General features: G+C 50.4%; 1 long non-coding RNA gene across 2 annotated transcripts in view, besides 2 other annotated features; it reads left to right on the top strand.

The window, feature by feature from the left end:
* FENDRR (FOXF1 adjacent non-coding developmental regulatory RNA) overlaps nt 1-27,423 on the top strand; it is a 34,336-nt gene extending 6,913 nt beyond the window's left edge. The window contains exons 2-4 of one of the 2 annotated variants that reach the window (NR_033925.1): nt 23,192-23,243; nt 23,897-24,062; nt 24,749-27,423. This is a non-coding gene — a long non-coding RNA (FOXF1 adjacent non-coding developmental regulatory RNA). Of the gene's footprint in view, nt 1-10,943; nt 11,096-11,434; nt 11,685-12,215; nt 14,286-23,191; nt 23,244-23,896; nt 24,063-24,748 lie in introns of those variants that run through there. The other variant, NR_036444.1, reaches the window with a different exon arrangement.
* Nucleotides 891-1,447: an enhancer, noted in NCBI's record as "H3K4me1 hESC enhancer chr16:86534107-86534663 (GRCh37/hg19 assembly coordinates)". NCBI's record gives its function as "activates a minimal SCP1, AML or CMV promoter by ChIP-STARR-seq in primed H9 embryonic stem cells {active_cell/tissue: H9 hESC(primed)}" and the evidence as "EXISTENCE:reporter gene assay evidence [ECO:0000049][PMID:30033119]".
* Nucleotides 3,025-3,649: an enhancer, noted in NCBI's record as "H3K4me1 hESC enhancer chr16:86531905-86532529 (GRCh37/hg19 assembly coordinates)". NCBI's record gives its function as "activates a minimal SCP1, AML or CMV promoter by ChIP-STARR-seq in primed H9 embryonic stem cells {active_cell/tissue: H9 hESC(primed)}" and the evidence as "EXISTENCE:reporter gene assay evidence [ECO:0000049][PMID:30033119]".
* Nucleotides 27,424-27,767: the final 344 nt, after the last annotated feature.

Genomic DNA, 27,767 nt, shown 5'->3' with positions numbered 1-27,767 from the left:
TGGGGTTTGGGGTGGCCAGAGCCCCACTCCAGAGGCCCCCATTCTCAGCTCTGAGTTTAAAACCCCGCTAATGCAGGAAGGGTCCCAGAGGTGGAGAAGGGTTCCGTCCTGACCCTGGCATTAGCTCTGGCCTTGAGCAAATGATTTAAATCTCTCGGTGCCTCAGTCCCCATCCACAGAGCTGACATGAGGACCAGGGAAGGAACACCTGAAGTGCGTCCTGCAGGGTCTGGCAGGGGTGGGGGTGGGGGGATGGGCACCGTAAACTCAAACCATGGCCGAATTGTTAAACAAACAAATATAGCTATTAGTGATTGGGAGTGTGGGTCCCACCTGGCTAAGACTCCGCTCCACTGCTGTGTGACATGGGGACATGGGCTGGTGGCTTTGTCTCTCTGTGCTTCGTTTTCCTCATCTGCAAAACAAGAACAATGACAGCACCTCCTTTCTGGGTGGCTGAGCTGATTAAATTAGTTAGCAATTGTTAGCTGTGGTTGTTATTGTTGGGGGTGCAGAGCCCCTTCAAGCCTGGCAGTTTAGGGTCAGGGCCAGGCATGAGCAGAAGTGGGGAGTCTAAGCTCTTGCGTGCTGGTGAATGAGCACCTTCCCCTCTGGGCTCTGGGAGGAGCCTGGGGGTCAACCAGCGGCCTCCTTGAGCCCTTGGAGAACTCAGAATGACTTCTCAACATCCAGACGGTGACACAGTCTCAGATGTAGCCCCCATCCTCTCATGGCTGGGCTTGGTCCCCAGTCACCCTCTGCAGTCGACAGAGCCCCTCATTAAGGGGTCCCCACCGCATTGTAGTGGCTGCCCCAGAACTGGGTCAGAATCCCACCTCGCTGCCCCATCTGCTCTGTGGCCCCTGGGCAGCTTCTTGACCTCTCTGAGCCCCCTTTCTCTTTTGCAGGATGGCAAGAATAACAGTCCCTGTGCTCTAGGGCAGCCATGAAGACTAAATGGAAAGATAATGCTGTTACAATTAGAGAACGGCTGAGCACCCGCAGTGTGCAAGCACTGTGCTGAGGCATTGCTGTTATTTGTGCAGTTGCTGTTCTGAAGCCCATTTCACAGACAGGAAAGCAAGGTGCAGCACAGAGGCAAACAGTAAGGGCCCAATAAACGCTGGATCGATTTTAAGGCACTTCCCTCCCTTCTCCCAAAGTCGACAGTGCAGACCCCTGTGGCATCTGGACTCTGGGCTGCCATTGGCAAGCCCAGGAAAAGCACGGGGTTGGCGGGGAGGCTGGAAGCGGGGAGGGGAAATGTCCTCATCTACTTGGAGGCTCTGGCAACGTTAAGGCAGGTTTGAAAGCCCTTGCATCCCCCTTCCCCAGCTTCCCACAACACCTAATAACAAAACAACAGCTTCTAGCCTGGGGTCCTGCCTGGGACCACCTCCCCGGGGAAAGCAGGGGAAATCTGAGGCCTCCTGGGGAGGCCCCACCAGCTCCCACCCCCACTTCCCAGCCTTCAGCCCCCTACAGTCCAGTTTCTGAGAAATGACAGGGAGGGTGAGGGGTGGGGGTTTTGTCCTGAACATCCCCTCAACGTCAGCACTGTCTGTTGCTGTTTTGCTGCGGGGTTGGGGGAGGCGCTCATTCGCCCTTTGCCCCTCCCTGGGTGTTCAGGGAGAATCCTTATTGAAGGCTCTTTTCAAGTCAAGGAATTGGAGCAGGAGGACTTCGAGCAAAGCGGGGCCCTTAGAGCCGCTTGGACTTAGCTCCTTGGAGGTCAGAGGGGCCCCTGTCCCCCATTCTGCAAAGCAGACCTCCCAGGAGAATTCCTTGGAGTAGGGGGCCCTGACTGGCCCAGGCACTGTCTCTACCTGGGGTGTCATAGAGACTGCTCCTCTGCTCCTCAGCCTAAGGGTTGGAGCGCTCCTAGCAATGTAAATAACAAGCGCGTTATCCCCGTCTTAGCGATGATTATTTTTGCCTCTCACCTTGCCACTCAGTGCTCACCTTGTTACCAGCCAGCAAGCTTTCTACCCTCTAGAATTTAAAAATCAAATGGAGGCGAAAACATAAAGTAACCACTCAAAGTTCATAGTCCTTTTATTTTGAAACGTATTTTCTCAATGTTTGCAATACACCAAATCTTTAACCAATTTGATCACACAGAGATCCTAGCGCCTATTCCTTTTTAAAAGGAATTTCTGTGGTTCACTTGGTTTTCATATGTGCTCTGCATTTCTCTACCCCAGTGCCAATTAATTCTCATCCTGGGGATTTTTTCCTAATAGTTAGCAATTAATTACCTGCAAAAATTCTATCCCTGACATGGGTAGATGTATAAGACCCGCTATTTAAAAAAGCATAAACCGCAACATATTTTAAATATTTTGTTATATACCCAAGGTCAGCATTGATCCTTTTATCTGGCCTCTCCTCCCACCTCCCTTAGGGTTTGAAAACCACTTCGTTCCCACTGGCAGCTGCAGGCGAAGCTTTCTCTCAGTGGGGTCATTGTTTTTTTTCCCAAAATTGAGCTGAGATCCATTTAATGCACCATGAAAACTAACTTAATTAGGAATCAAATTCATTCTTTTGTGAGACCAGCGGTAAGCGTCCAACACTCCCTCCGCTGCCGCCCCCACGTTTTTCTGCGTTTTTTGCTAAGCCGCCTCTGCTGAAGTCCGTGACTCCAGGGCAGCCGCCCCTCCACCGCTGCCCACCTGCCCCTGACTTCTCTCTCTCTCTCTCTCTCTCCATTTTAAGCAACCGAGGCGCACTCTGGTTTTGCAAGTCTGACATTCTTTACGTCGCCTTCCCGGAAAAATTTGTCCAGGGCTGGCGTCCGGCCGAGGCGGTGCATCTGACGCCCGGGAGAAGCAGAGCGCGTTTCTTTTGGCGTGGACCTGGGACCCCCGCGGGTTCCAGGGGCGGCACGCCTTGGGGTCGGCATTGGGACCTGGCTGCGAGGCAGCTCGGCGGCCAGGAAGGCGCCGGCGGCGGCGGGAGGGTGCCAGGCAGCCCCGGCTGGTAACTGCTGTTCTAGCTCTGCAACCGAGCGCTCCTTTCCACCGCGGTTTGGGCTAATGATGGGTCCTGCCGGCGTGAACGCCGTGTTTATTATACCTTCACCAGCCCAGGGGAGGGGTGCGCGCCTGAGCGCCCGGGGTCCAGGAACGCCAGAGCTGCAACGCCGAAAACTTTTCAGGCTGGGAAAAGGTCTTGGGGCCCCTCATACACGCCTTTTTCGCACTCGCTTGGCCTCGACTTGGTCAAGGGCGGATTCGGCCTGCCTTCAGGCTGGGGGGCCTCGGGGCACCGGGGTGCACCCGGGGCCCGCCCCCTTGGGGAGGCACCTTCTGGAAACCCAGGCCCCGCGCGTCTCCCGCCGGGACTGCCCCTTGGGCGGTGGTAAAACTGCCCAGGCCCCGGGTATCAGGATCATACTCAAACCCCAACCCCTGCCCGCCCCAGCCAGGAGGGGAGACGGTTGGGAGTGGGAGGCCTCGGCGCTGTTCTCTGGATGCAACTGAGATTGCCGCTAGAGGGTGACGCCTGGGTCGGAATCCAAGGTAGACGAATCTGGGGTGCTGGAACCGTGCTTTTCCCCGGAAAACCCAAGAAATGCACTTACAGTGCGAGATTGGTTGGGGCGTGTCTATAGGGGCAACGGGAAACAGCGAATACTACGGATTATGTGCTAAGGGAGGGAAAGCAGATCGAAGGTCCATTACTTGCACATTTCTACCTACGATTTGGGGCCTGAATCATCCAGGAAGCCGGCTTTGTACTCCACCTGTCTGTGCCAGTGTAGACGGAGTCTGGGGCCGGGGCCAGCTGATTTTCCATTGCAGTCCCCAAAACCCTCCCAATTTTTAAAATTTGGTCGGGTGCGGGCCGAAATTGGGGTACAGGCGGTGCGGGGGTGGGCGGGTGGGGGACGCGCAGATGTGAGACTCCCGGGTTACTGTAGTAAGCTCTATTTGGGGCGGGGCGCGCCCGCGGAGACCCTGCGCGGCGGGAGGGACATGTGCACAGGCGCGTGGGGGTGGGGTGGTTGTGAACCAGGGAACGCAGACCCCCGAGAACCGCCAGATAGTCGCTGCGTCCACTTAACCCGGCGGCAGAGCCCTCCGCATGATTGCTCTTCCTCCACCAAAAGCCCACCCCAGCAAGCGTGGGCCTCCAACCCCAGGCCGGAGGTCCCAGGCTGCGTCTCACCTCCCGCCCCCTTCCCCCGTCCCCGCCTTGCGTCCGGCTTAACGAAGACCGCTCGGGTTCCAACTCAATTAGCTCGCTGCAGAGGCCGCCGCCGGCGTCGAGCTCCTCCAGCAATTAGGGGCGCGCCGGCTGGGGCCGGGGGCGGGGGCGGGGCGGGCAGGTAAAGACGGAACCAATTTGCCTAGAGGGTTTATCAACAAGTGGCTTAACTAGGAATTTGCGTTGACAACTCAGCACCTCCGTCGGGGCTCCGGAGGCGGCGGAGGGCCGAGATGACAGGCTGAATGGAGGGGCGGGGGCGGGGGGGGCGTCCTGGGAGCCGGGAAGACCGAGGCTTCAGAGCCACCCGAAGCCACCTCGGCCGAGCCCCGCGCGCGGCGTGTGCCGAGTGGACCGGAGCACCCGGGGCGCGTTGCCGGGACTCGGGGCTCGGCAGGCGGGCGAGCACGGGCCGGTGGGCGCTGGACTGTCTTTCCCGACGAAGTAGGTGGCCGTGTATATTTTTGTTCAAGTGGTGTTTATGTTAATGAAAAAAGGATGGAATTACAAACAGCCAGCCGATCGCGCCGCGGCCGCCGGAGACTCGCCGCGCTCTGGTCCCAGGCCCAATCAAAGGGAGCGCGCTCTGGGCCGCTCTGGGACCTCCAGCAGAAACCTTCTCCCCCCCACCTCCTCTAACTGGGTGAAATTGCCCTGCCCGCCTCTCTAACTTTCTCCAAATCGAGAACCCTCTGTTTGCAATCAGCCCCCTCACCTCGTTCCCCCCACCAACCCTCGGTAGCGCAATCAGGTTTGTGGATAAGAAAAACCCTAATTTAAGTCCCGCAGCTCCTTTTTTTTTAAGGAGCACTCAGATAACGCTTCCGGGACACTCGGATGCGGCTAGAACTCAGTCTCCCTTATCCCCTTCACCGCTCTGCTCCTTTTCATTTTCGTTTTTTTCTTTGTTTTTAATAATATAATTAGCCCGGATTTTGACATTATTTCCTGGCCGGCTGCCTTTTTTTTTTTTCTGGGGCTAAGCAATTAGATTTTCTAAAGGCCCTATCAAGTCCTTCCATCCCGAGAGAACTTTTTTTTCTCTCCCCCTTTTCCGGATCCCACTGCCGTCTTTTCCTCCGTGGATAGGCAAGGACCCTGGCGGTGCTGCCCTCCTTTGCTTTGGTTAGAGGAGAACGGCCAGCAGGAGAGACAGCCCGACTTGCAGCAGCGGGAGAGAGACTGACCCACGAGGCTGGTGACCTGGGCCGTGTCTGTGGCCCTGGGACAGGGTCGGTGTTTCCTGGGTCAGGGCAGCCAGGCTGATGCGGGCACCACGCCTTTGGGCGACCACAGCCCGGCGCTTCCAGGTCCGGTCCACTTATCAGACACCGCATAGCTGCGTCTCCACAGACAAGGTGAAACGGAGACTCGGCGGGCGTCTAGCCCAGTGGAACTTTCGGAGCCGTGTCTAATCTTTTCCTAGAGGAACTTTGACTGGGGAGATTTGGGTTGTCCGCCCTATTTTCTCTGGTGGTCGCCATAGTCTGCTTGTGTAGATGCTGTTCCCTCCCTTTCTGGCCAGTTCAGCCTGGGTGTGGGTTCATTGGACCCCCGCCCGCCTGCAGGTGGAAGGCAGGGCCCAGAGAACACCCGGCCTGGGTTTTCCACCTGGAGAGATGGACCTCCTGGCACCGCTGGGGCGCCATCCCCCAAGCCCTGTTGTGAATCTCTGCTTTCCCCGTTACTACAAAGAAGACCGACACTGCTTCACACACGCTTTGAAGGCCGAGCTCACCAGCCTGGTAATCAGATTAGCACCCCGGCGGTAAAGAAGTCAGTCGATCCCAGGAAACAACACTTCACAAGGAAGAGGGGACATCGAGAGATAGATAATTACTGGACCAAATTAAAGTTTTGCTTGTAAACTTTCTCCCCCATGGAAGGAGAGTTGTTCTGAGGGTGGTTCCTTCCAACTCCTCCAAAGTTGACGTAGCGATAATGCTCACAGCCTAGGGAGTGAGTTACTTGGGGATGAGGCATTTCTTTGAGGACTTTGTCCCACTTTCTCTCCTCTGCCACCTCAGAGGAGAGCAGCAGACCCCTTGATTGGGGGCCGGGAGGTTGCTGCCCCCCATCAAGGGTCAGCCTGGGGGCTGCTTCCAGGGCCTTGGGTAACAGAGTGGGTCAAGCATGGGGAAGGCGAAAGGCTGTGTTTTTATCTCCAGATCAAAGGATATTGAAGTGGAAGGTGCAAACTAGGTGTGTAGGTGCATTTTTGAGAATAGCAGCATCATAGTTTCCACCGGATACAGCAAGTCCCTAACACATCTCCCTCCCAAATAAAAACGACCAAGACAGAATAAAGTGCGCCTAAGTCACAGTTATCGGGCACCTCGTTCTTTCAGCGAACTATGATTTGTCAAACCCGTGCGCACCGCTGACACTCCCTTGACGGGTTGTGTAGCCTTGACGTTGAGCAGCCGAGGGAAAAATCTGAGAACAGACAGGGGCGGGAGCGCGAAAGGCCCGCGCTGCCACAGGCCTGAATCCGCCCCTCTTCTTCGGGCCGTGGAGGTCACAGGCTCCGGCTGGCCTGTGTTTTCCGAACAGAAGCTCTGGAGTTGCACACCCAGGGGTGGGAGGCCGGGTGCAATTGCCCCGCGGAGCCCCTCCTGCTGGGCCAGCCGCCCTGCTCAGCTGTGCGCTGCAATTTGTCCGCCAGCGCGGGTTCCATTCTCTGCATAACCTTCAGCAGGTGCCGGGACTGGTCCTCATCCCCGCTCCCTCCGCGCCCTCGGCGGAGGGATAGACACAGGAACCCTTCACACCGATGTTTAATCTGTCGTGATGGGTGGCCAGGCATGCGCCCAGGTAGCCGGCCTCGCGCTGGCTCACAGGGGTGGGGTTGGCCTTTTCTCCCGGTGCTTTGAAAGGAAGGGCGGCAAGCTAAAGAGGGAGCGAGATAGAAAGGGCCGCTCCCCAGGGGTAGGGGGCTCCCTAATGCGGCCACACCGGGGTGTTCCAGGGGCAGCCCTGGCCAAAGACTGCACCCGGCTGCTCTAGGGCGCCTGCGCCCTCGAGCGTCTCAGCGCCCCGGACGCTGCGGGAGCCGCTTTCTCCACCCGCGCCACTTTCTCTGGGGCTGGCAAATGCCAGATGCTGAGCCCTGAACTCGCCTGCGAGCTGGTAGGGCCCCTTCTGCGCTTCCCAGCCATTTATTCCATCCTGCAATTAAACCCGAGGTCAAATATCTCCTTAACGACGCTATCAGGCCAGTGGCTCATTATGGCGTATATTTAGCCATAAAATATGGGTTGTAGTGAGGAGGAGATGAAAATTATTGTGTTCTGGGAATGAATCCTTTTAGCAGAAACCAGAGCTGTTATTTACCACGGAGAGCTAAGTACAGGCTCAGTCTTCTAAGCGACCCCAGCAGGATCAGCTGCTCCTCCAGGCCCTTTCCGGCTGTGCCTGCGCCCCCGCCACAGGCCTGGCACCGGCGCGCTGCCTCCCCGCCGCTTGCTGCATCCCAGAAGGAGCCGCTCTGGTCGCGGGGGAGAAACATCCTTGTGGATTAGGGCGCTTATGGATGATGTTCTGTCTCAGTTCCCAAATTCAGAGCTCCCTGCAGCCCACTCGCCTGGTCTGTAGTGGGAAAGCCTTTGGCAGGATCGTAAGACGGTGGTGTGCTAGCCGTGGCTTGCTGTGGAACTATCTGGAGCTTGGTAGAGTCTGTATATCTGGCTTCTAGGGAGGCTCTACTTCTGGCTGCCATGGGTAGGTTAGTTAACCTCTCTTGACTTCAGTGACCTCATGTGTAAAGTGGGGGAAAGGCCATGCCTTCTCCCGGAAAGCTTAGGAGAATTTAATCCGACGTTAATGTGAAGCCTGTATAGCCCAGTGCCGGGTGCAGAGAAGTTTAGTTCATGGTGACCAAAGGACAAATCACGAGGAAGTGCATAAAAATAAGTCTTTGGGCTGCTGATATGAATGCATGAATGAAACCACTCATGCAAGGGGCTGTGAGTGATTTGGAGTCCAGGATTGGACAGCCTTAGGTTTCGGTGGGGCCCAGACCATCACCAGCCGTGCCCACCAGCTAGGGTAACTTTTTTCCCTTGCGCAGGATCCCCACCTGCCTGCAGGGTTGGACAGTCGCAGCTTTGGTGGGTGGGGGGGGGGGCAGACCATCACCCCGGGCAGTACCTGCCCTGGCAGCCTGTTCAGAGTTGCCGTGATTTGCTGAGATCATGTTCTCCGGTGATCAGCAGTGCTCGCCATAAGAGGAGTTGCTCACACATGATCCTGTTCCCTGCTGCCCGTCCTCCCAACCCCCGCCAACATCCTGGATGTCCAGGTGGCCCCAGTTGGAACCAGAAGCCTCCAGACACACCAACAATGCTCAGCTTCATCCTGGCAGTGCCGGGGAGATGGAAATTGTGTGGACAGGGACATCCCCAGATTTAGCCTCTCAGGAAGTGGCCGGGTGACCCACAAGCTACAAATATTTGGGCAAACCAGATGAGGTCGTCCCCAATCTAAATGTTTGCCCAAGGCCTCCAAGGGGGCAGATTAATTATAAGGTTAATGGGCCCCCCAGGCAGGGCAGTTGTGTCCTAGAGGAAAGTGGCCATGTCCCCCACCCCCACTGGCCAAGGCCCAACTTTCTTGGCTTCCAAGCTGAGCAAGACACCAGACCTTCCATCCCTTCCCTATGTATGTCCTGCTTAGAGATTCTGGGAGCTCCTGCCAGATAGATGCAGGCTGTGCTGGGACAAGAACAGAGTCTGCAGACACATCCTGTGGACACACACAAACACACAGACACACACACACCCAGCAAGTCCCCTGACACTATCTTCTTAGGGCAGCCTCCTCATATCCATTGGAATACAGAGTCAGCAGCAAGTCCTGGGCAGCTTTCTGAATTTCATCCTGGCAAGGAGAGGGATGCTCATGGCCCTTCCTGGAGTTTCCTGCCACTCTGAGAGGGAGGCACTGGGTGGCAGTGCTGTGTGACCGTGGCCACGTCCTGCTCCATCTCTGGCCCTCTGTTTCTTCTTCTGGGAAATGGGGATTCTTTGTTAACCCTCTGGAGACCAGGTCTTCTGCCTGTAGCATTTGATGGTGCCATCCTTTTTAGTTTAATCATTTTGTCTCTGCAGTGTTATCTTCATCACCACCACTGTCATCTTCATCACCACCACTGTCACCTTCATGAAGCACACATCAGTTGCTTCACAAGCATTTAATCATCACACCTCTCCAAGGCAGGTGGTATTATCCCCATTTTCCAAGTGAGGGAATTGAGGTTCAGAGAGGTTGAGTAACTACCCAGGGACACACAGCTAGTGAGTGATACCACACGTATTACCTCTCTGCATCATTTGTGCTCATTGATAGGTGATTAGGGATCTGTGTGGGATTTGTTCTAGTGACCCTGGCACCCATGGCTAAGGCAGCGGTTCAGGGGAAATGCAACAAGTTTAATTATGTAGATCCACCATTTAACTTAGAGTTTCTATTAAACAATGCTGCAAGATGTAACGTTTCATTGGGTTGCATCCTTTATTCCCCGGGAACTCCAAGGAGGGAAGATAGGCTACAGGCAGCCAAGGGCTGGACAGACTGCTGGGTGGCTCCTCTCATCTTCCTTACCCTCAGGTGTGTCTAAAAGCTCCAGCTCAGACCAAGAGGGGGCCATGTCCGAAACAGGCATCACTGCCTGGAACTGGCTTCCTTGCTACTGTTCAGGTTGTTTTGTGGCTGGGAGGGTCCCCCATCTGAGATGACAAATGTGACATATACTCTTGGAAGTACATGATCTATTAGTCACAGCAAGAGAATCTGCCATGCAAAGCCTTTATTTCATTGGAAGCTTGTTTACTGTCCGGCGAGCTGGCTGCTGTGACGAGAAGCCACAAGTACAATACCCCGATTGTGTCCTTCAGGACCTCAAAATTGCAGTTCTTACACAAACTCAGTTCTTGCTGTGAGAAAGGTTTTCTCTGTGCTTCTTCGCCTCCAAAAGTGAGATTGAATGCTTTCCTTGTGTCAGGCTTAATCAAGCAGTGGAGGCAATAACGGAAGATGCAGGAGGATTAGGCTCGCTCAGGCAATCTTTTCCCTTTGGGGATCATACTTGGGCTTGTTCTTTGGATTTAACACAGACGCTTATAGCTGACCTATAGAGAGACAGACACTGGGCACGGCCAGCCAGCAGCTGGCCATGGGGAACCCTTGCTCAGTTTGGAAGGCAGTGCCCGATGTTTATGAGGCACTCCCTGCGTGCCAGGCACCACGCAGAGTGCTGAGTCTATGATCTCACTCAATCCCCGGAGCAGTATAATGAAGGATGCTTCAGATGTGGACATGGAGGGAAGGAGAGGTTCTGACTCACCCAAGGGCACACATTAGTGAGTGGTGGAGCCAGGTCTCACACAGGCATTTGGTTCCAGAGCCCAAGTTTGCAGGACACCTGGCATGTGCTCATTGCCACCACTGACGTAGAACATGAGATGCAGAGCACGTGTGCAGGATGAAGGAGCATTGACAGTAGTGCAGGGGATTGAGGCCTGGACTGGGCAGTGTTAAATGAAATCATTAAAGTTATACACATCCCATTTGTGGTAACCAGTTGACTGCAAAGCACCCTAGAATCACTCTTGAAGTTCTAACAATTGCTTTCCAAACAAAAGAAAGGACGGGCGTGTCTGTTTGTATGTGTGTTTTAGGGCTTGTGACTCATCTGGAGCATCTGTTCCTCATAAGAGCACTTTTCCAAACAGGATTTGTGAAGAGGTGACCCAAATTTCAAGACAATGTTGGATGCAAACGGATTTGCCAGCAACTGCATCACTGTCAAAACCAGCTCTGCCCGTGTCTTCCGAAGATACCAAGTGAAATACATGTAGATGGGATTTACATCTGAAAAACCAAGGCAAGAGGCCATGGGAAGGGACGGAGGTGGAACAGGACTGGACAGAAGCTGATAAATGGTTGTTGCTGAGTACTGGGCAGATAGGGGTTGGTTATCCTATTGTCTTTACTTTCATATATTTTATTTTTTCTGTAATAAAACAAATTAAAATCACCTGTCGTGACCTCACAGGGGCCAGTGTGGGTTGTGGCGTGAGGCAGGAAGCTCTGCAGAGTTCCTTGGTCAAAAGGATTAATTACAAAAGAACTCCATGAACACCGAGAAGAAGAGAAGGGAATCCTGGCATTTAAAGCCACAAAGAAACTTGATATGGTCTTGTCTCCTTCTCTCAATTGACAGTGAGAAACTGAAGACCAGAGAGGGTGAGTGGTTTACTCAGTTTGGCACAACTGACCCCAACCTAGCCCTCCATGAGGACTGAGCGCATGAGAGATCCTGAGCCACAGCCGCCCAGCCCTGCTCCTCTCGAATTTCTGACCTACAGGAACTGCAAGAAGTAATGAAAGACTGCTGTTTAAAGCCACTGCATTTTGGCATGATTTGTTATGCAGTCGTAGATAACCAGAAAACATCGGATTTACATTTTAAGGTAAACTTTTTATTGAAACATCACATACACACAGAGACGTCCACCAATTGGCTCGATGAGCTTTCTCAAAGGAAACACATTCTCTGAGCAGTGTGCACATCCAGACACATCATCTCCATCCTCCAGAAGCCCCCTCCTGTTATCGCCACTCACAGGTCACCCGTCTCCTGACTTGCAGCCACAGAGATAGTCCTGCCTAATTCTGAACGTGGTACAAACGGAATCATACAGAATGGGCTTGGCTTCTTTCACTCTGGGCTGTGTTTATGAGCATCACCCAGATTGCTGCATGGAAGCCATCGTTTGTTCATTTTCACCACCATAGAGTATTCTACTGTTGATGGGACATAGGCTATTTATTCCTTCTACTGTTGAGGGACGCATAGTTATTTCCAGCTGGAGACTGGTATATGTCTCTTGGCTACCTTCTGCATGCATTTCTGTTGGAGGTTGTTTCAGGTATCTCTTAACGTATAACAGACCACCCTCAAATTGAGTCCTTGAAACAATTACCATTTTCTTCTTTCTCAGGATTTGGTGCATGGGATGGGCTCAGTTGGGCAGTTCTTCTGTTCCATGTGATGGTACTGGGGCTGCAGTCATTCAGAGGCTCAACTGGGCTGAACGTGCAAGGTTTCTTGCTCACGTGGCCATCAGTGGTGCTGGCTGCTGTTGGGAGCTCCACTGGACTTCTGTCCAGAGCTCCTCAGCTCACCTCTCTGTATCCTTGCCCTGTGGCTCAGGCTTCTAACAATACAGAGGCTGGATTCCAAGAGGAGGGAATTAGAAGCGTTCAGCCTTCTTAAGACCAGGATTCAGATGTCCCAGACTGTCACTGTATTGACCGGAGCATTTACAGGCCAGCCTAGTAATTTTTCCATCTTGGGCAGGAATGGGTGGCATATGCTGGGGGTAGGGGTAGCATTGTTGGGGATCATCTTTGGAGCTGTGTGCCAAGGAGTAAATTGCTGGGCTGCTTTCTACCTGAGGAAGTCCACTATGCTTGCTTGTGGAGAGTGGATTGTGTGCTCAGAGTCCACAAGGATTTAAGAATCCGAGCCCTGCTGCCCTTGCCTCAGCCTGTGCATTAGGGCCCGGTGGTGAGAGCACTGAGCCATTGTGAATCAAGGCCCCTCCCTCGACCTGCATACTAACAGGCCAGAAGAGCTTGCTTGATTTTGGTCCTAGGCTCCTGCCTGTGGGTTGGATTCCAGGGGCACTCTCTCCTCCACAAACCAGACGGTGGCAGGTACATCCCCTCAATGGAAATTGCCCACACTTCACCCTAAAGACAGATCCTGCTGTTCAGCAACAATGTGAGTGGCCCACACATTTGTCCAGCATGAAACCGTTTGCAGATTCCTTTCCAGTACACAGTCCCGTCAGCCGGTCACTTCACGATGACAGCTCCTCGAAGCACCTTTTGGTTTGCAGTTGTGTAGCTTAGAAGTAGGAGCCTGCACGGCTTCAGGAATTCACAGAAGGAGCACACTTTGTGCTTGGAGAAGTTAATTATAGGAATATCCTGCAACCTGCTGCTCTGAGCCTGTGCACCTGGGGTGTTTCCCTGGAGGTCCTGTGTATGAGGATACTCATCAGCATGGGGTTTGGGAAGCCTAGCAGTGGAGACAACCTAGGTGGTCCTCTCCAGGGGAGTAGGTAAGAGCCCTACAGCAGTGAAAAGCATTGAAGGAAAAGTGTGTTCAGCAGTGCTCTTAATCTGATCAGAGCAGCCTGAACACATTCTAAACACAGGGCATTTAGAACTAGGGTAGAGGCACTAGAGCACCATAGATACAAACTCAGATTCTGAAGGTAAATGCCCAGGTTCAAATCCAAGCCCCCTCGCCAAGTGACCATGACTCCCCCGAGTCACCTGACCTCTGTGTTTACATCCTCAAAGTTAAGTAGTCAGGAAAGGGGGCTTGGGGCTTGCCACATGGATGGTTGCCACTCTCCTTTGCAAAGTGTAGTCCCCAAAAACAGGTGGAAGAGGGAAGGGTCCAATTAGAAGGCCGAGTACCAGCTGCCATGAATATGCCAGAGCTGCTGGCTAGTGATAAATAACTGAAACCCAGGGGGACAGCAGAGCTTGGGTGACCATACATTCTAGGAAAGAAAACATGCCTGTTGTCCTGGCTTTTTATCCAGCTTAGACAAAGATGGGCAAAGAAAATAATTTAGAAAATGGTAGAGATGGGCACAGAGAAAGGGCACGGAGGGAGGCACAAACAGAAGGCCAAGTGATGGTGGAGGCAGACATTGGAGAAATGCCTTTACAAGCCGGGGAATGCCAAGGATGCTGGCAACCCTGGGAGTGGGAAGAACCTGGAACACACCCTCCGTCAGAGTCTCCAGAAGGAACTGGCCCTTCATCACCTTTCGGACTTCTGGCCTCCAGAACTGGGCAAGAAAATGTTTCTGCTGTTGGAGGCCATCCAGCTGGTGGTCATTTGTTATGGTTGCCACAGAAAACGAATATAGATTTAGACATCTAATTTGCATATATAGATATGCATGTGTATTTGTTAAATAAAAGATAAAGCATGACAACTCGATGGACAACGTTACAACTCATTAAATTGTGTTGGTTAAAAAAAATGATAGATATCACCCACACATTTTTATGTGCTGGCAAACAGAAAAAAATCTAAGACTACATAGGGTTCCTCTTATTTTAATTATTTTATTCTTTTAAACAACAAACAATGTGACTAAAGCAAACAGAAATTATTTTTTCATGAAACAAACAGAAAGGGTTCAATGCACTTAAATGATCAACCATCCCCACCAGCGTGGAAACAGGGCTGGGCTTGCAGACAGTGATGTGTGTGGTGTGCATCTGTGGGGTTTGGGGTTTTGCTTACTTTGAGGGATGGGAATAGAAGCCTTTCCGAGAAATGCACACCCAGGAGCGAGTTCCTGGGCCACAGTGCTGGCTCCCTGCTTACTGGCTCATGGTGCAATCTGGGTTTGGGGGCAGCTTTGCTACAGGCAGGAGCCTCGACCCTTCGGAAAAGGATTCCACTCCTGAGAGCCCATCTGTCTCTGAGTCTCAGGACACGCCAGCCAGAAACTGCAACCCTTCTGTGTCAAGCAAACAGCACTCATGCCTTTGAAATTCCCCAGTGTTCCCAGCACACCTGCAGCATTTGGGAACATTGTTCTCAGTATTCTCTGTGCTCATCTACTTGGATGCCAGACTATTATCATCATCCCCATTCGACAGGGGAAACTGAGGCACAGAGAGGTTAAAGTCACTTTCCCACTGTAGGACAACAGGACTAGAACCGCAGAGCTCCACCATCCAGCTGAAGGAGGAAGGGGGCTTAGCTGCGTGGAAAGGGGGCGCCCCACGGAACTCACCCTTGGCTTCACCTTCACCTGTCCTTGGCCGGCTCCGTTTCCCCTTTCTATCTTCCTGGGTCTCAGTTCAAGGGCCACCTCCTCAGAGGGGCCATCCCCACACCAGGGCACCCTCCCCCAACTCACTCCTCCCCAGTTTGCTCTGTGCGTGCTACCTTACTTGTCACTGTCTGAAGTTATCCTGCTTTTGTCAGGGTCCCGCGGGCAGGGAATATTCTCTCTTGTTCCTGGAGGTCGTTGCCTCCCCAGCACTTAGCGGAGTGCTGGTTCCCAACTCCTGGGTCTGCATCCTCGTGGACCGAGCACACAGTGCTGTTGGAGACACGGGGGGCTTGGGCCCTGACCTCAGCCTCTGACATTTATATCCACGTGTGGAGTGCCCGGCACATCATGTTTAACCCTCGATGGGAACAAGACAGTTGCCCCATTTTGATGTAAGAAGAGGCCAAGTCACCTGGCCCAGGTCACGCAGCAACAGGTGAATTGAGAGCCAGGCACCCCTGACTCCTGAGTCCCAGGCTGCAGCCTGGTCTGAGGGCTGGGAAGACTTAAGGAAATTCCAAGGGAACAGTTACTCTTTTTGTTAGGAGTCAATAGCCGTGAGACCAGGATGCTGGATGCCCAGGGTCTCGCCATCTGGAGGTTTAGACAGAGGCTCCAGAAATGAGGCAACAGGCATGAAGTCACCCCACAAAGGCAAGGCCATCCAAGCAGGACACCCCATGAGAGGGAAGTGGGTTCTGCCCCGGCCTCAGCCTGCAAGAACAGGACAGCAGCAGGGCAGAGGAATGAAGAGCCCCATTCAAGGGCCTCCACGGAGCTTCCACAGCATCCCTGAACCATCTCTCTAGGGCCTCTGGTGAGCATGTGTGCATGGGACACTAGGGCCCTATTTTTTTAAGCCACTGTGGTCAAGTCTCTCCTACAGCAGCTGTACGTGCTTGGTAACTAACATACGCTTGAATGTCTGACTCCTTTTGCATTTCTTTGAGAGACAGGAGTTCACCCCAGGAAGGATTATGATGTTATGGTTGGAATGCAGAGAGAAAGCTTTTGATTTCCAAAACAGGCTGTTTGAGTCTGTGTCATCCCAATAGCCCTGATGTCTTGATGAGAAAGTCCTGCATGATGACCACCTGCCCTTTCTATAGCAGGAGTCAAGATCTCTGAAACAGGTTGTGGAGTTTCACAGGACCCACAAGTAGAGGAATCCCTGCCTGCATCTGCAATGGGAATCCTTCAGAAGGAAAGGCTGAGAGGAGCGAGGTGAGGCTGGGTGGGTGTGGCTGGGTGGGGTGAGGCTGGTGTTCTCAGGGTTGAACCTCATGGGGTAGATGCAATCAGAACCCAGGAGGTCTGAGGACTGTGGGACCTCCAAGCAACTACCCTGGACTACTCGTCCATGATTTTCAGATAGAGCCACACTCTCTTCTGCAGGAAGGAGACAAAAATTTCCGAGATGGCAGAGAAAAATAGTCACCCTGGTGTGGGAGTGCCCTGAGGCTGCCAGAGAAAATCACCACCACAAACTTGGTGACTTAAAACATCAGAAAGTTATTTTCTCATAATCCTGGGGGCCAGAGCCTGAAATCAAGCTGTCAGCAGGGCTCTGTTTTCCCTGGAGGCTCCAGGGGCAGCTCCTTCCTGCCTCTGCCAGCTCCTGGTGGCTCCAGGCACTCCTGGGCTTGGGCAACTTCACTCCAATCTCTGTCTCTGTGTCTTCCTCTTCTGTCTCTTATAAGGGCACTGTCATAGGACTCAGGAACCTCTCCAAACAGGATGATCTCATGTTGAGATGCCTAACTGATAATATCTACAAAGACCCCTTTTGCAAAGAAGACCTCATTCACAGGCTCAGGGGTTAGGATGTGACCATCTCTTCTTGGTGAAGAGTAGTGAGGGCTACCATTCAGCCCACTACACCCAGCAGTAGCCATTCCATGCCCTGCAGCTGCACTGAGATGACAGAAGTTGTTGTAGGAAATTCTTCCATTTTCTCTTCCTGGAAAGCAAAACTAATGCAGGAAGACGGGAGGGGAGAGTAGGAGATGTGTGTGGAGTATGGGTTTGGCTGCTGCAGTGCAGATCCAGAATAGCACAGGTCTGAATGAGAGGGAAATTAAGTCTTGCTCATTCACTGCACTCCAGGTGTGTCGTGTGCAGGGCTGAGTGGTAGTCCCCTGTGCCAGAGATCCGGAATCTCTTGCTGGTTCCTCTGCCAACCATAGGCTGCTGTACCCGTCTGCATGGCTCACCTCCAAGTCCTCTTTCTGGCCGAGGGGAGGGCTGTCCACGACTAATGGTGAGGTTGGTGCACGTTGTCATGGCTGAGAGCCTCCTCCTGGTGCTGTGTATCCTAACTGCCTGTACTCTATTGGTTGTTCAATGTTTGGGCTGCCACCCCTGGTATATCCCTCCCCTTGAAGGCATGACCCAGAAGTTATACCCGTCTTTTCCTCTTCCACTCACACCCTATTGGCCAGTATTTGGTCCTATGACCACAGCTAGCTGCAAGGGAGTCTGGGAAATGTATTCTTTATTGGAGATGGCCATTTGCCTGGCAGAAAATTCTAATAATGGATATTGGGGAAATGGATAACTGGGTGATAGCTAACATTCTCTGCAAAGGAGGGGTCTGGCTTTCTGGGACCACGCTCAGCATCTCCTGGCTCTTCCACTGACCGGGAGATTGCTGGAGAAAGGCTGATGGGTCTTTGCCTGGAAAAGCCCTAGATCTTATGGTGGCCTGGTTCCTTGAGGATAGCAGTTATGGGACATTGCTGGCTTCACTGCTTGTTTTTACACCAGCTGATGCCCACTGCCCCAGCATGACAAGGGTTCAGCTTTCTGTCCTTTGAGATGATAGCCCACTCTCTGCCCGTATAGGCGAAGAGAAATGCATTGACTATACACTTTGGTGCTAGGTACTGTAGCAAGCATTTCTCCATGAATTATTGCTGTTTGAGAAGCTGCAGGAACTCTCTGGCAAACTGCCCTCTGCAAAATAGGATGTAAACAATCCCCCAGAGTAGCCTGCTCAAGGCCTTTGGGGACCTGGGGGCAGCCCCCAGCATGACTTGGCTCTGGGGTGGTATGTTGCCCAGCAGGCTGTGTGAGGTTACCAGCCATAGGAAGGCAAAACCACCGCCTTTCCTTGGCAATATCCTACTTGCATTGTGTGTTTCAAAGCCTCCTGCCAGATCCCAAACCAAGCACGCCCCCTGTCCTGTTCTCTTTGTGGCTCAGTGGCAATAGGGAGTGGACCTGCTCTAACCTACTCATTCATTTACTTTTTCAGCAGTCATTCATTTATTCAGCAAATAAGAGTACATTCTAAGGGCCAGACCATGTGCTAAATGCACCAGGCATCATCTCTGCAGCTAAGCAGTGTGTGATATTATGGATAGACAGACACAGACACGATGATATCATGCTAAACTGTTATGCTAAAGTAATGTGAATTGGCCAATAAGGATATGGAAATAGGTCCAGTCTCACTAGAACTGTTCAGGAAATGTGAATACTAATCCCCTAGATACCTACTTCTGGGTATATATCTAAAGGAACTGAAAATGGGGCTGAGCTTGGTGGCTTGCACCTGTAGTCTCACCCACTCAGGAGGTGGAGGAGTGAGGATCTTTTGAGCCCAGGAGTTCATTGCTGTAGTGAGCTATGATCACACCACTTCATTCCAGCCTGGGCGATAGAGCTAACCCATCGCTTAAAAAAACAAGAAGCAAAAAAAAAAAAAACAGCAACTGGATCTCAAAGAGATATTTGCACACTCATATTCACAGCAGCACTGTTCACAACAGCCAAGAGGTGGTGGCAACCCAAATATCCACTGACAGATGAATGGAGAAACAAAATGAAGTAACATTTTTCACCCACTGGATTAAATCTGTTATTGGTGGGAGTATCAGCAGCTGAACTCTTCGGTTAAGTAATTTAGAAATAACCTTATAATTTTAAATGCATGAATCCTGTGATACAGCAGTGTCTCATTTGGAAGTTTTGAGAAATGAAAGGAGGTGACAGGTTGGCTTAAGTGAGACAGTGGAACCCCTTAGCACTCTGCCCAGCAACCAGCTAGCACTCAAGAAGTGGCATAGAAACTTATCATTCCAGCACTGATGAGAAGACATCCCTCCCCTCACACCTCCCAACCAGCTTAGTCATACGAGCGGTATTAGCAATCAGGGTTTCCAGAGAAAAAGAACACACGCATACACACACACGCATACACACACACGCATACACACACAAACAGAACACCCCCCACCACGCGCACACAGACACACACACACACACACACACACACACACACACACACACACACAGAGGTTTACATGGCTGTGGAGGTTGGTAAGTCTGAAATCCACAGGGCAGGCCAGCAGGCTGGAATCCCAGGCAGGAGCTGATGCTGTGTTCTTCAAGCAGAATTCCTCCATCCCAGGAAAACCTCATATTTGGTTCATAAGGCCTTCACCTGATTGGATGAGGCCCACCCTCGCTGTCACAGGTAATCTGCTTCTCTTAAAGCCGGCTGATGGTAGAGGTTAAACACATCCACCGCATACCTTTGCAGCAACATTTAGATGAGTGTTTGAATCTCTGGGCACTACAGCCTGGCCACACTGATGCATAAACCTGCCCATGGCAGGGGCCAAGGTCAGATCACACTGTCCCTGACTGGGTCCCTCTTCCCTGCAGGCCCAGGCTCTGCCTGTATCTGACGTTGGGCCCAGCCTTGTAGCACCACCACTTAGGATTATTCTGAGGTGCTGACTGACACTTTAAGGTTTTTGTCATTCTCCACTTCTGAGCTTATCAATGGGACAAAAAGTCAGCGCCTCGGCCCTTTGCTGGCCTTTCAGCCACCTGGCAAGCCCACAGTTGGACAGCTCCCTCCAGAGAGCGGCACCTTGCCATGGGTGAAGGAAGGGCAGGAAGAGAGGATGAGCACAGCAACACTGAGCATTTTTTATGCACCAAGGGCCTATAACCCGCTTCTGAGTATTAACTTCTTTAATTATACAGTTAGATACTATGATATTGTTACACCCATTTTACAGATGAGGAAACTAAGGCCTCCAAAGGTCAGGCAACTTGCTCAGGTTTTCATGGCTAGAACAGGGAGGGTCAGGATTTGAACACAGGCCCTCTGGCTCTATCTACACTCTGTTCTCTTGATCAGATGTCACTGTCTGTCCCCATGGCAACCTTGGGGCTGACAGCTGGGAGCAGGACGCACACCCAGGAGTCTTAGCCTCAACCCTGAATTCCTCTTTTGACAAATGGAAACCTCATTCCACTCTTGCCGATGCATCTTCTAATCCAGAGCAGAACATAATCCCCATCTCTTTTCTCTGGAACGTTGGGAGAATTTGTGTCTGTCAAATGCTTTGGAGAAATGTGAAAAGAATGTTTAAAATGCCAGATCATTTTTTCAAAAAAATCAATTATAGGTTTGCCTTTGGGGTAACCCTAAGACAACACAAAATCTCAAACTTTCATCCCACTGGAGTGAAGGAAAATAATTACTCCGTTAGGTTTTCAGCGATCACGCAATTGCCTTGGATTTTACATTCAAATTCCAACCAGGAGGGAACTGCGATCTTGGAGCGAATTCTAAAGAAATGCTGCGAAGGCACAGGTCTCTTCCACAGGGCCCAGGCCTCAGAGCCAGCAGAAACTTTGCAAGTGGCATTTGCAGCCAAAACAATTCTGACAGCTCCTCTGGAGGGGTCTGGTAACTAGACTCTGCAAACTGGAAGAAATTAGCTCTGACCACAGACCATCCAACAGACCCGTATTTAATAATACTTCCCAAACGTGTGAAGCACTTAGTTTTAGAATAACAGGAAGAATGGAATCACCTGGAACTACAGATTTGAGTTTCATTCTGGCCATCATACCCTCCCAGGAGCCTTGCTCCTCTGGTGGCCAAGAGGGGTGGCCGAAGCCCGGTGCCGCTCCCCTATGGCCCCCACCCCAGGGCTAGCCTGTCTTGGAGAAGGGTGACATTGAGGCTCTGTACCCTGCACCCTGGCCTTCTCGAGGCAGAGGTCAGGTCTGCCGGGGGAAGGAGCCCACGTGCCAGCTCGGGCCTGGAAACGTGAGTCTCCACAGATTCCACCAGCCTGCGGGAACGGCTAAAAAATTGCTCCCTTCCTTCTCAGCTGCTCCTGGACAGCTCCAGGAGGCCTTTCCGACAAGAGAGCATTGTGTCCCATTGGAGCCCTCCCCTGTCACAAAGGGGGCCTTTCACGGCTGCAACTGGGGAGGGTGGGGACCTCAAGGCCGGCTCGTTAACCAGCTCTGGGCACAGTGGCTGTGGCTCGAGCTACCGCTACCTGGAACGGGCCCTCCTTGGAGACGAACCCTTTATTTGACTTCTAACAGGGAGCTATCCTGAAGGAGGCCAGCTTGTTTGCTGGGAAGAGAAGTGGTTGGCTACTTACTGCAAACAGATGATACAAAAATTCACATATCCCTTCCGGAATAAGGGCTGTGGAGGGATAGATGGGCTTGTGGTGGGAATGATTTTCAGAAAGATTTGCAAGAGATTGATGGCGCTGGTTGTATCTGGGTAGCTGGGTAGTATGCAGAAGGGACAGGAGGGGAAGAAACTTACACTCTATCCCTGTGGACTTAGGCATATTGGACTATGTGAACAAATATCTAATTCAAAAATATCCTCACCTTGCAAAAGGCTAAATATATACTCCCATCTCAGAGAGGGAGGGAGGGTGGGGATGGGAAGTCCTGCTGGCTGCCCCCGGAGGCTGGGCAGGGTGTGTGTGTGTGTGTGTGTGTGCGCGCCTGGATGTGTGTGAGAGAGAAGATCTAAAATGTAATGGTTTCAGCAGAATACGGCCCCGCTGTGTAATTAAACCAAGGGGGCTGTCGGCTCCCAGAGTTTAAGCAATTTCATGTGCATTTGGTGATTATGCCTCTCTCCTTGGATAAAAGTGCTGCTTCTATTTTCACCACACAAAATCATTCCCAGACCAGGATGAAGGATCACCTTCCCTGCCCACCTCAGCATGAGGCTCCCTCCAGCTGGCAATCCCAGAAGGGTGGGCTTCTAGTGGGTGCTGGGAGGGGAGTTCAAAACTCCAGGAACCTCTGCCACTGCCTCGGCAAGAGACAGCATGGCAGCTCCGGGTTCTCTGGACTGATGGGGCCACTGTGTTCTGCGTCATCCAAGGACACACAGGCTCAGCTGAGCCAGTCTTTTATTGCTGGAGGCGTGAGTGTCCGTGCTCTTTGATCCACCGCTCCTCTGCGGTTTCTTCTGTGACCCATGGGTTATTTGGAAGAGTGTTCCTTAATTTCCAAGTCTCTCGGGATTTTTTCCAGATATTTTCTTGTTGATTTCTAACTTAATTCCATTGTGGTCGGGGAACATATTCTGGACATTTAGTCTTTTGCAATGTATTACAACTGTTTTATGTTCCAGCATATGGTCTGTCTTGACGAATGTTTCACATACAGTCACAAAGAGTGAGTTTTCTACACTTGCTGAGTGAGTATTCTATATGTTCTATTAGGTCAAGTGGTCGCTAGTGTTGTTCCAATCTTTTATATTTTTACTGATTTCTTTTGCCTACTTCGATCAACTACTGAGAGGATTTTAACATCTCCAATTATGATGGTTGATTTCTTGGTTTCTCCTTTTTTACTATAAAATTTTGCTTTATGATATTTTCAAGCTCTGTTATTAAGTATATACACATTTAACTATTCACATGGGTTAATATACATACACATGTATATTTATTAATTATAACATTAACAAATATTAATGTTTTATTAATTAATGTGCAATTTTAATGTATTAATTATAACATTATAATAATATATAATTATACAAGTATATAATATAAATAGAAATATATAATACTATATTGATTATGACATTAATAAATATTAATGTTTTATTAATATTAATTAATAATGTATATGTGGATGAAATTATGTATACAGCATATATATACAATATACAATATATGTACATACAGTACACAGACACACATGTAGAGAGAGCTTGCTCCCATCTCTGTGCCCCATTTGCTCAGTTTCTAGCATCTCCTCCTCTCTGCACCCTTCCTGGATAACCAGTTTTATTCTTCTAGGATTACTTCATGCACATAAAAGAAAACGCAACTACAGTGGACCCTGAACAACGTAGGTATGAACTGGTTCAACACGGGTTTGAGTCCACGTATCCATTTATATGTGAATTTTTTTCAACCAAACAAGGATGGAAATACGATGTTCGTGGATGTGAAACCTGCACACACAGAGGGCTGACTGTTGGTATCGTGGGTTCCACAGGGCTGGCTGCAGGACTAGAATATGCACAGATTTGATATATTGAGGGGTCCTGGAACCAAGTCTGCGAGTATAGCAAGGAAAGAGTGTGTATATCTTATTCCTCCTACACAAAAGTTAGTGCGTCATACACACCATTTTGCAGTTTGGCTCTCCCCCTAACAATATACCTTGGTGCTCCTTCCCTGTCAGCCCCCACAGAGCTTCCTCCATCTTGGTGGCAGCTGTGTGATATTTAGTCTACTACCATTTATTTAACCAAGCTCCATTGATGGACATTTGGCTGGTCACACACCCTGGCTGTTACATCCTGTGGCCTCTCTCTGTCCCATCTTCTAGATCGCCTCCACCCTGCTTCCCTTGTCCTCACACCACACTCCAGCCCAGGAACCAGCCAAGTAAAGGGAGTACCCTTTCTCTTTTAGAAGGTGGGGCAAGAGGATGGTGGTGAACATTTTCCTTCTTTCACACACACATGCCTTGGCATTGCGTTTGCCTGCATGCAGCTATGGCCTGCAGCCACTGAAGAATGCTTGCATAAGGAGCTCTTCTCTGCACATACCCCGACACAGTGATGGTATCTTGCAGCTGCTGCTTCTGTCCAAGGCACTGCAGCCTACTCGTCAAAAGCCCGAAGCCCAGCTCTGCCAGCAGTGCACTGTGTGCTCTTAGGTAATCGCCTGGCTTCAGGACAATGGGACAGTAACAGCTAACACTGGGACGGAGGTGCTTATCATGTACCCAGAACTACTCTTAAGAGCATTGCATATTTAGCCTTATTTGCTTAAAACAACATTTTGAGGTCAGTCACATACTTTCTCCACTGTGTCTTTCTGAGTCACAGAGAGGTTAAGTAACTTGTGCAAGGTCACACTGCTCAGCAGAACTAAGACTCAATCTTAGCAATCCAGATCTAGGTTATTATGAGGGTTAAAGGTATCAGTGAGCAGAACGCACTTGGACCCAGTACACAGCAGGTGCTCATTGAAGCTTAGCTCTTGTCATCATGACTTGCCTAAGGAATTGGGATATGGCTGGTCTTGCTTAGGTGGGGAGGAAGGAGAACTGAAAAATACAACCCACACTTAGAAAAGTCTAAGATTCCAATTTACTCTGCCAAATTTTTGAAAGCTCTGGATTCATGGAAGAGGAGGAGGGAGAGCAGCTAAGAGCAGCTCCTGCTGGGATCAGGTGGGAAGTGCTGGGTGGGGTGAGTGAGCCCGGGTCACTCTGTTATTACAAGCCCCGCCCGAGAAGCCTGGCTTCCCGTCTGACCTCCGATCGTGCTAGCACAGGGCTCCGTCAACGTGAAATGTGCAAATGATTTGGCGTCCCCCCTCCCTTGCTTTTCTTTGCAGGAAACAGAGAAGCAAAGAAGTTAGCAAGCTTGTTTTGGCAGAAGAAAAAACACAAAATACCCAACCACAGATCCTCAAAAATATTGCTAAGCACTAATTTTGCTAACATGTTAGACAGCCTTCGGATCTAGGCAATCTTGTTCCTCAGCTGGAAAGAGTTCCTGCCAGCCATGTGATTCCAAATCCACCCTGGACATATGGGGATAATGAGAAAATCAGCTCCGGCCTTCCCTGGCCTTCCAGCCAAGTGAATGGGGGCATCCCCTGGTGCTTCAGCCCGGGGCCCACCCAGAGGATGCTAGCTGGCCTGCAGAGGCCTCAACCATGCCCTCCTGGACTCAGGTAAGACTGAGGTTTCCATGCCCTCAAAACAATTGTTCAGACAAAAACTCACTGCCCAGGTCAAAGTCACAGCACCAGAAAGCCAACCTGAGGATGAAGACAAAGCTCTTTGTTGGCACAGTCCCCTGATCATTCGAGGTCAGCATCTCCATCAAAATGGACCCAATGCTGAGGCAAGAAGGAGAACATCACTGTTAAGAAGGTAATGAGTCACAAATGCTATTTCGATGGTTTTCTTTGAAAGAAATACACAGAACCAAACCAATTTTAATTAAAGATCTTGTCTTTGTAATCAGGCAGCCACAAATGAAGGCAAAACTGCTTTCATGTGGCATAATATACACAGAGCTGAACTAGTTTTCCCATAAAAGGGCAGGTTCTTTTCTTCAAATAAGAAAAGAGTTTGTTCCTAACAATATGGGGGATGCAACAGAAAGCTGTCTTTTGCAAAGTATAAAATTGCAGATCCTCCCGTGGAAGCCATTTCTTGATGCTAAACCAATGCGAACGTTTGCCAAACGCACATGCGAGCCGGGATTATCCTACCCTTTGAGATTAGACATGTGATCCTGATTTTTAAGTGAAAAACGCAGCCAGAGGCCAAATAAACATACCTACAAGTACATCGAAAGCTCAAATGGTTGAGAAATGATTGTAACACACCCCGGTGTGTATTTCTGAGGAAGAATCAACATGCACATGGAAATTGATGTTTTGATTTTTAATTTTAAAACGACGACAGAACTGAAATACCTCCCCTAACTAGGTCCACTGAAACCAGTGAGGAGATAATCATTTTCAGTTAAATATGCATGTAATTTAATAATCCACAGATGGAAAATGCATTTGAGGTGGACTGAACACAGCCAGGAGTTTTTGCTTATCGACAGCACTGAATCCTGCCTTGACTAGAGAGACTCGTCATGTGATCAACTGTGGCCAGAGGGCATCCTGCAGACAGCTCCTGTCACACCACACTGACCAGACTCTTATGAGTATTTAAGCATCTTCAGGGAAGCGATTGACTGTCTTATAATGGTCTTACAAGTACGGAACTTTATTACCTGCTAATAATCAGAGCACATGATGGCACAATAGAATATACGAGTGAAGTTCTAAATGCAAGGTTGTTCTTATTCTGTGAGTGGCAAAACTCATGCAGTGAGCAGATAAAGCTGGCAGGAGGCATTGGCGCCCTAATGCTGGGCACTAACCACCTGCCCGGACTGCGAATATCTGTTGGGTCCTTTCTATATCTGGTCTATTCTCGTGTTTGATTATATCCTGGTGGCAAGAATAGCAAAATCAACTCTCCTTCCTATCCCATGTGGAGAGGCATGATTTGAGTCAGAGAGCATTATCCTCTCTGCGTTATCCAACCCCATGTCCCATGATGCACTTTGTAGACAAGCAAGTGTCCCTGGTGGAGAATCCACAGCCACACATCCTCATTGGTTGCAAGGATCAGTGTCCAATATCTACTGCCATGATCATTCTCAGTTTTACATCCACAGAGCTTCATAGAATTCTAACACCACAGGTCCAAGTAGAGGTTTTGGCCTCAGAGTGGGCTAGATTCCACCTCTGACAGCAGCTGTGGGACTGTTTTTCCATCTGTAAAATGGAGACAAGAGTATCACCTACCTCATGGTGTTGGTGGGATCGTTAAACAGAATTCCGATCATGAAACCCTTAGCCTGCTCCCTGCATAGGCTGCATGCGCTCAGTGAGCTATGGCTCTGTTTCATGCTGACTTTACCATCATGTAAGCAGTTTTAAAAATGCTAGAAGCTTTAGTCATAGAATTACCATATGATACAGCCTACTGCAGAGTCCAGAGGCTGAGGCAGGAGAGTTACTTGAACCTGGGAGGCGGAGGTTGCAGTGAGCCAAGATCGCGCCACTGCACTCCAGCCTGGGCAACAGAGTGAGATTCTGTCTCAACACAAAAAAGAAGACATGTGTCCCCATCACAGTATCATACAGAGTGCTTCCACTGCCCTAAAATACCCTGTGCTCTTCCTATTCATCCCTCTCTTCAACCCCAGCAACCACTGATCCTTTTACCATCTCCATGGTTTTGCCTTTCCCAGAATGTCATATTGTTGGAATCATACGCTATGTAGCCTTTGCAAATGGGCTTCTTTCACCGAGCAATGTGCATTGAAGGTGCCTCTATGACTTTTCAAGGGTTGATAGCTCATTCCTTTTTATTGCTAAATAATATTCCATTGTCTGAATGTACCACATTTTGTTTATCCATTCACCTACTAAAGGACATCTTGGTTGCTTCCAAGTTTGGGCAATTATAAATAAAACTGCTATAAACATTGTGTGCAGGTTTTTTTTTCTAGATGTCAGTTTTTAACTCATTTGGACTATAGAGCACTATTGCTGGATCATATGATACGTGTGTGTTTAGTTTTATGAGAAACTGCCAAACTGTCTTCCAAAGTGGCTGCACCATTTTGCATTCCCACCGTCAATGAATGAGAGCTCCGGTTGTTCCACATCCTCACCAGCATTTGGTGTTGTCATTGTTTTGGATTTTAGCCATTTCATAGGTGTGTAGAGGTAGCTCATTGTTTTAATCTAATAAACATCTTATTGAAGAATAACACACAAGCAGAAAATTTCAGAGATACAAACGAACAGCTTTTTCAACCATCACCCACTG

Source organism: Homo sapiens, chromosome 16, assembly GCF_000001405.40.
Source record: "Homo sapiens chromosome 16, GRCh38.p14 Primary Assembly".
NCBI lineage: Eukaryota > Metazoa > Chordata > Mammalia > Primates > Hominidae > Homo > Homo sapiens.
Note: the sequence above shows the minus strand (reverse complement) of the source record. Positions and strands in the feature narration are given on the sequence as shown.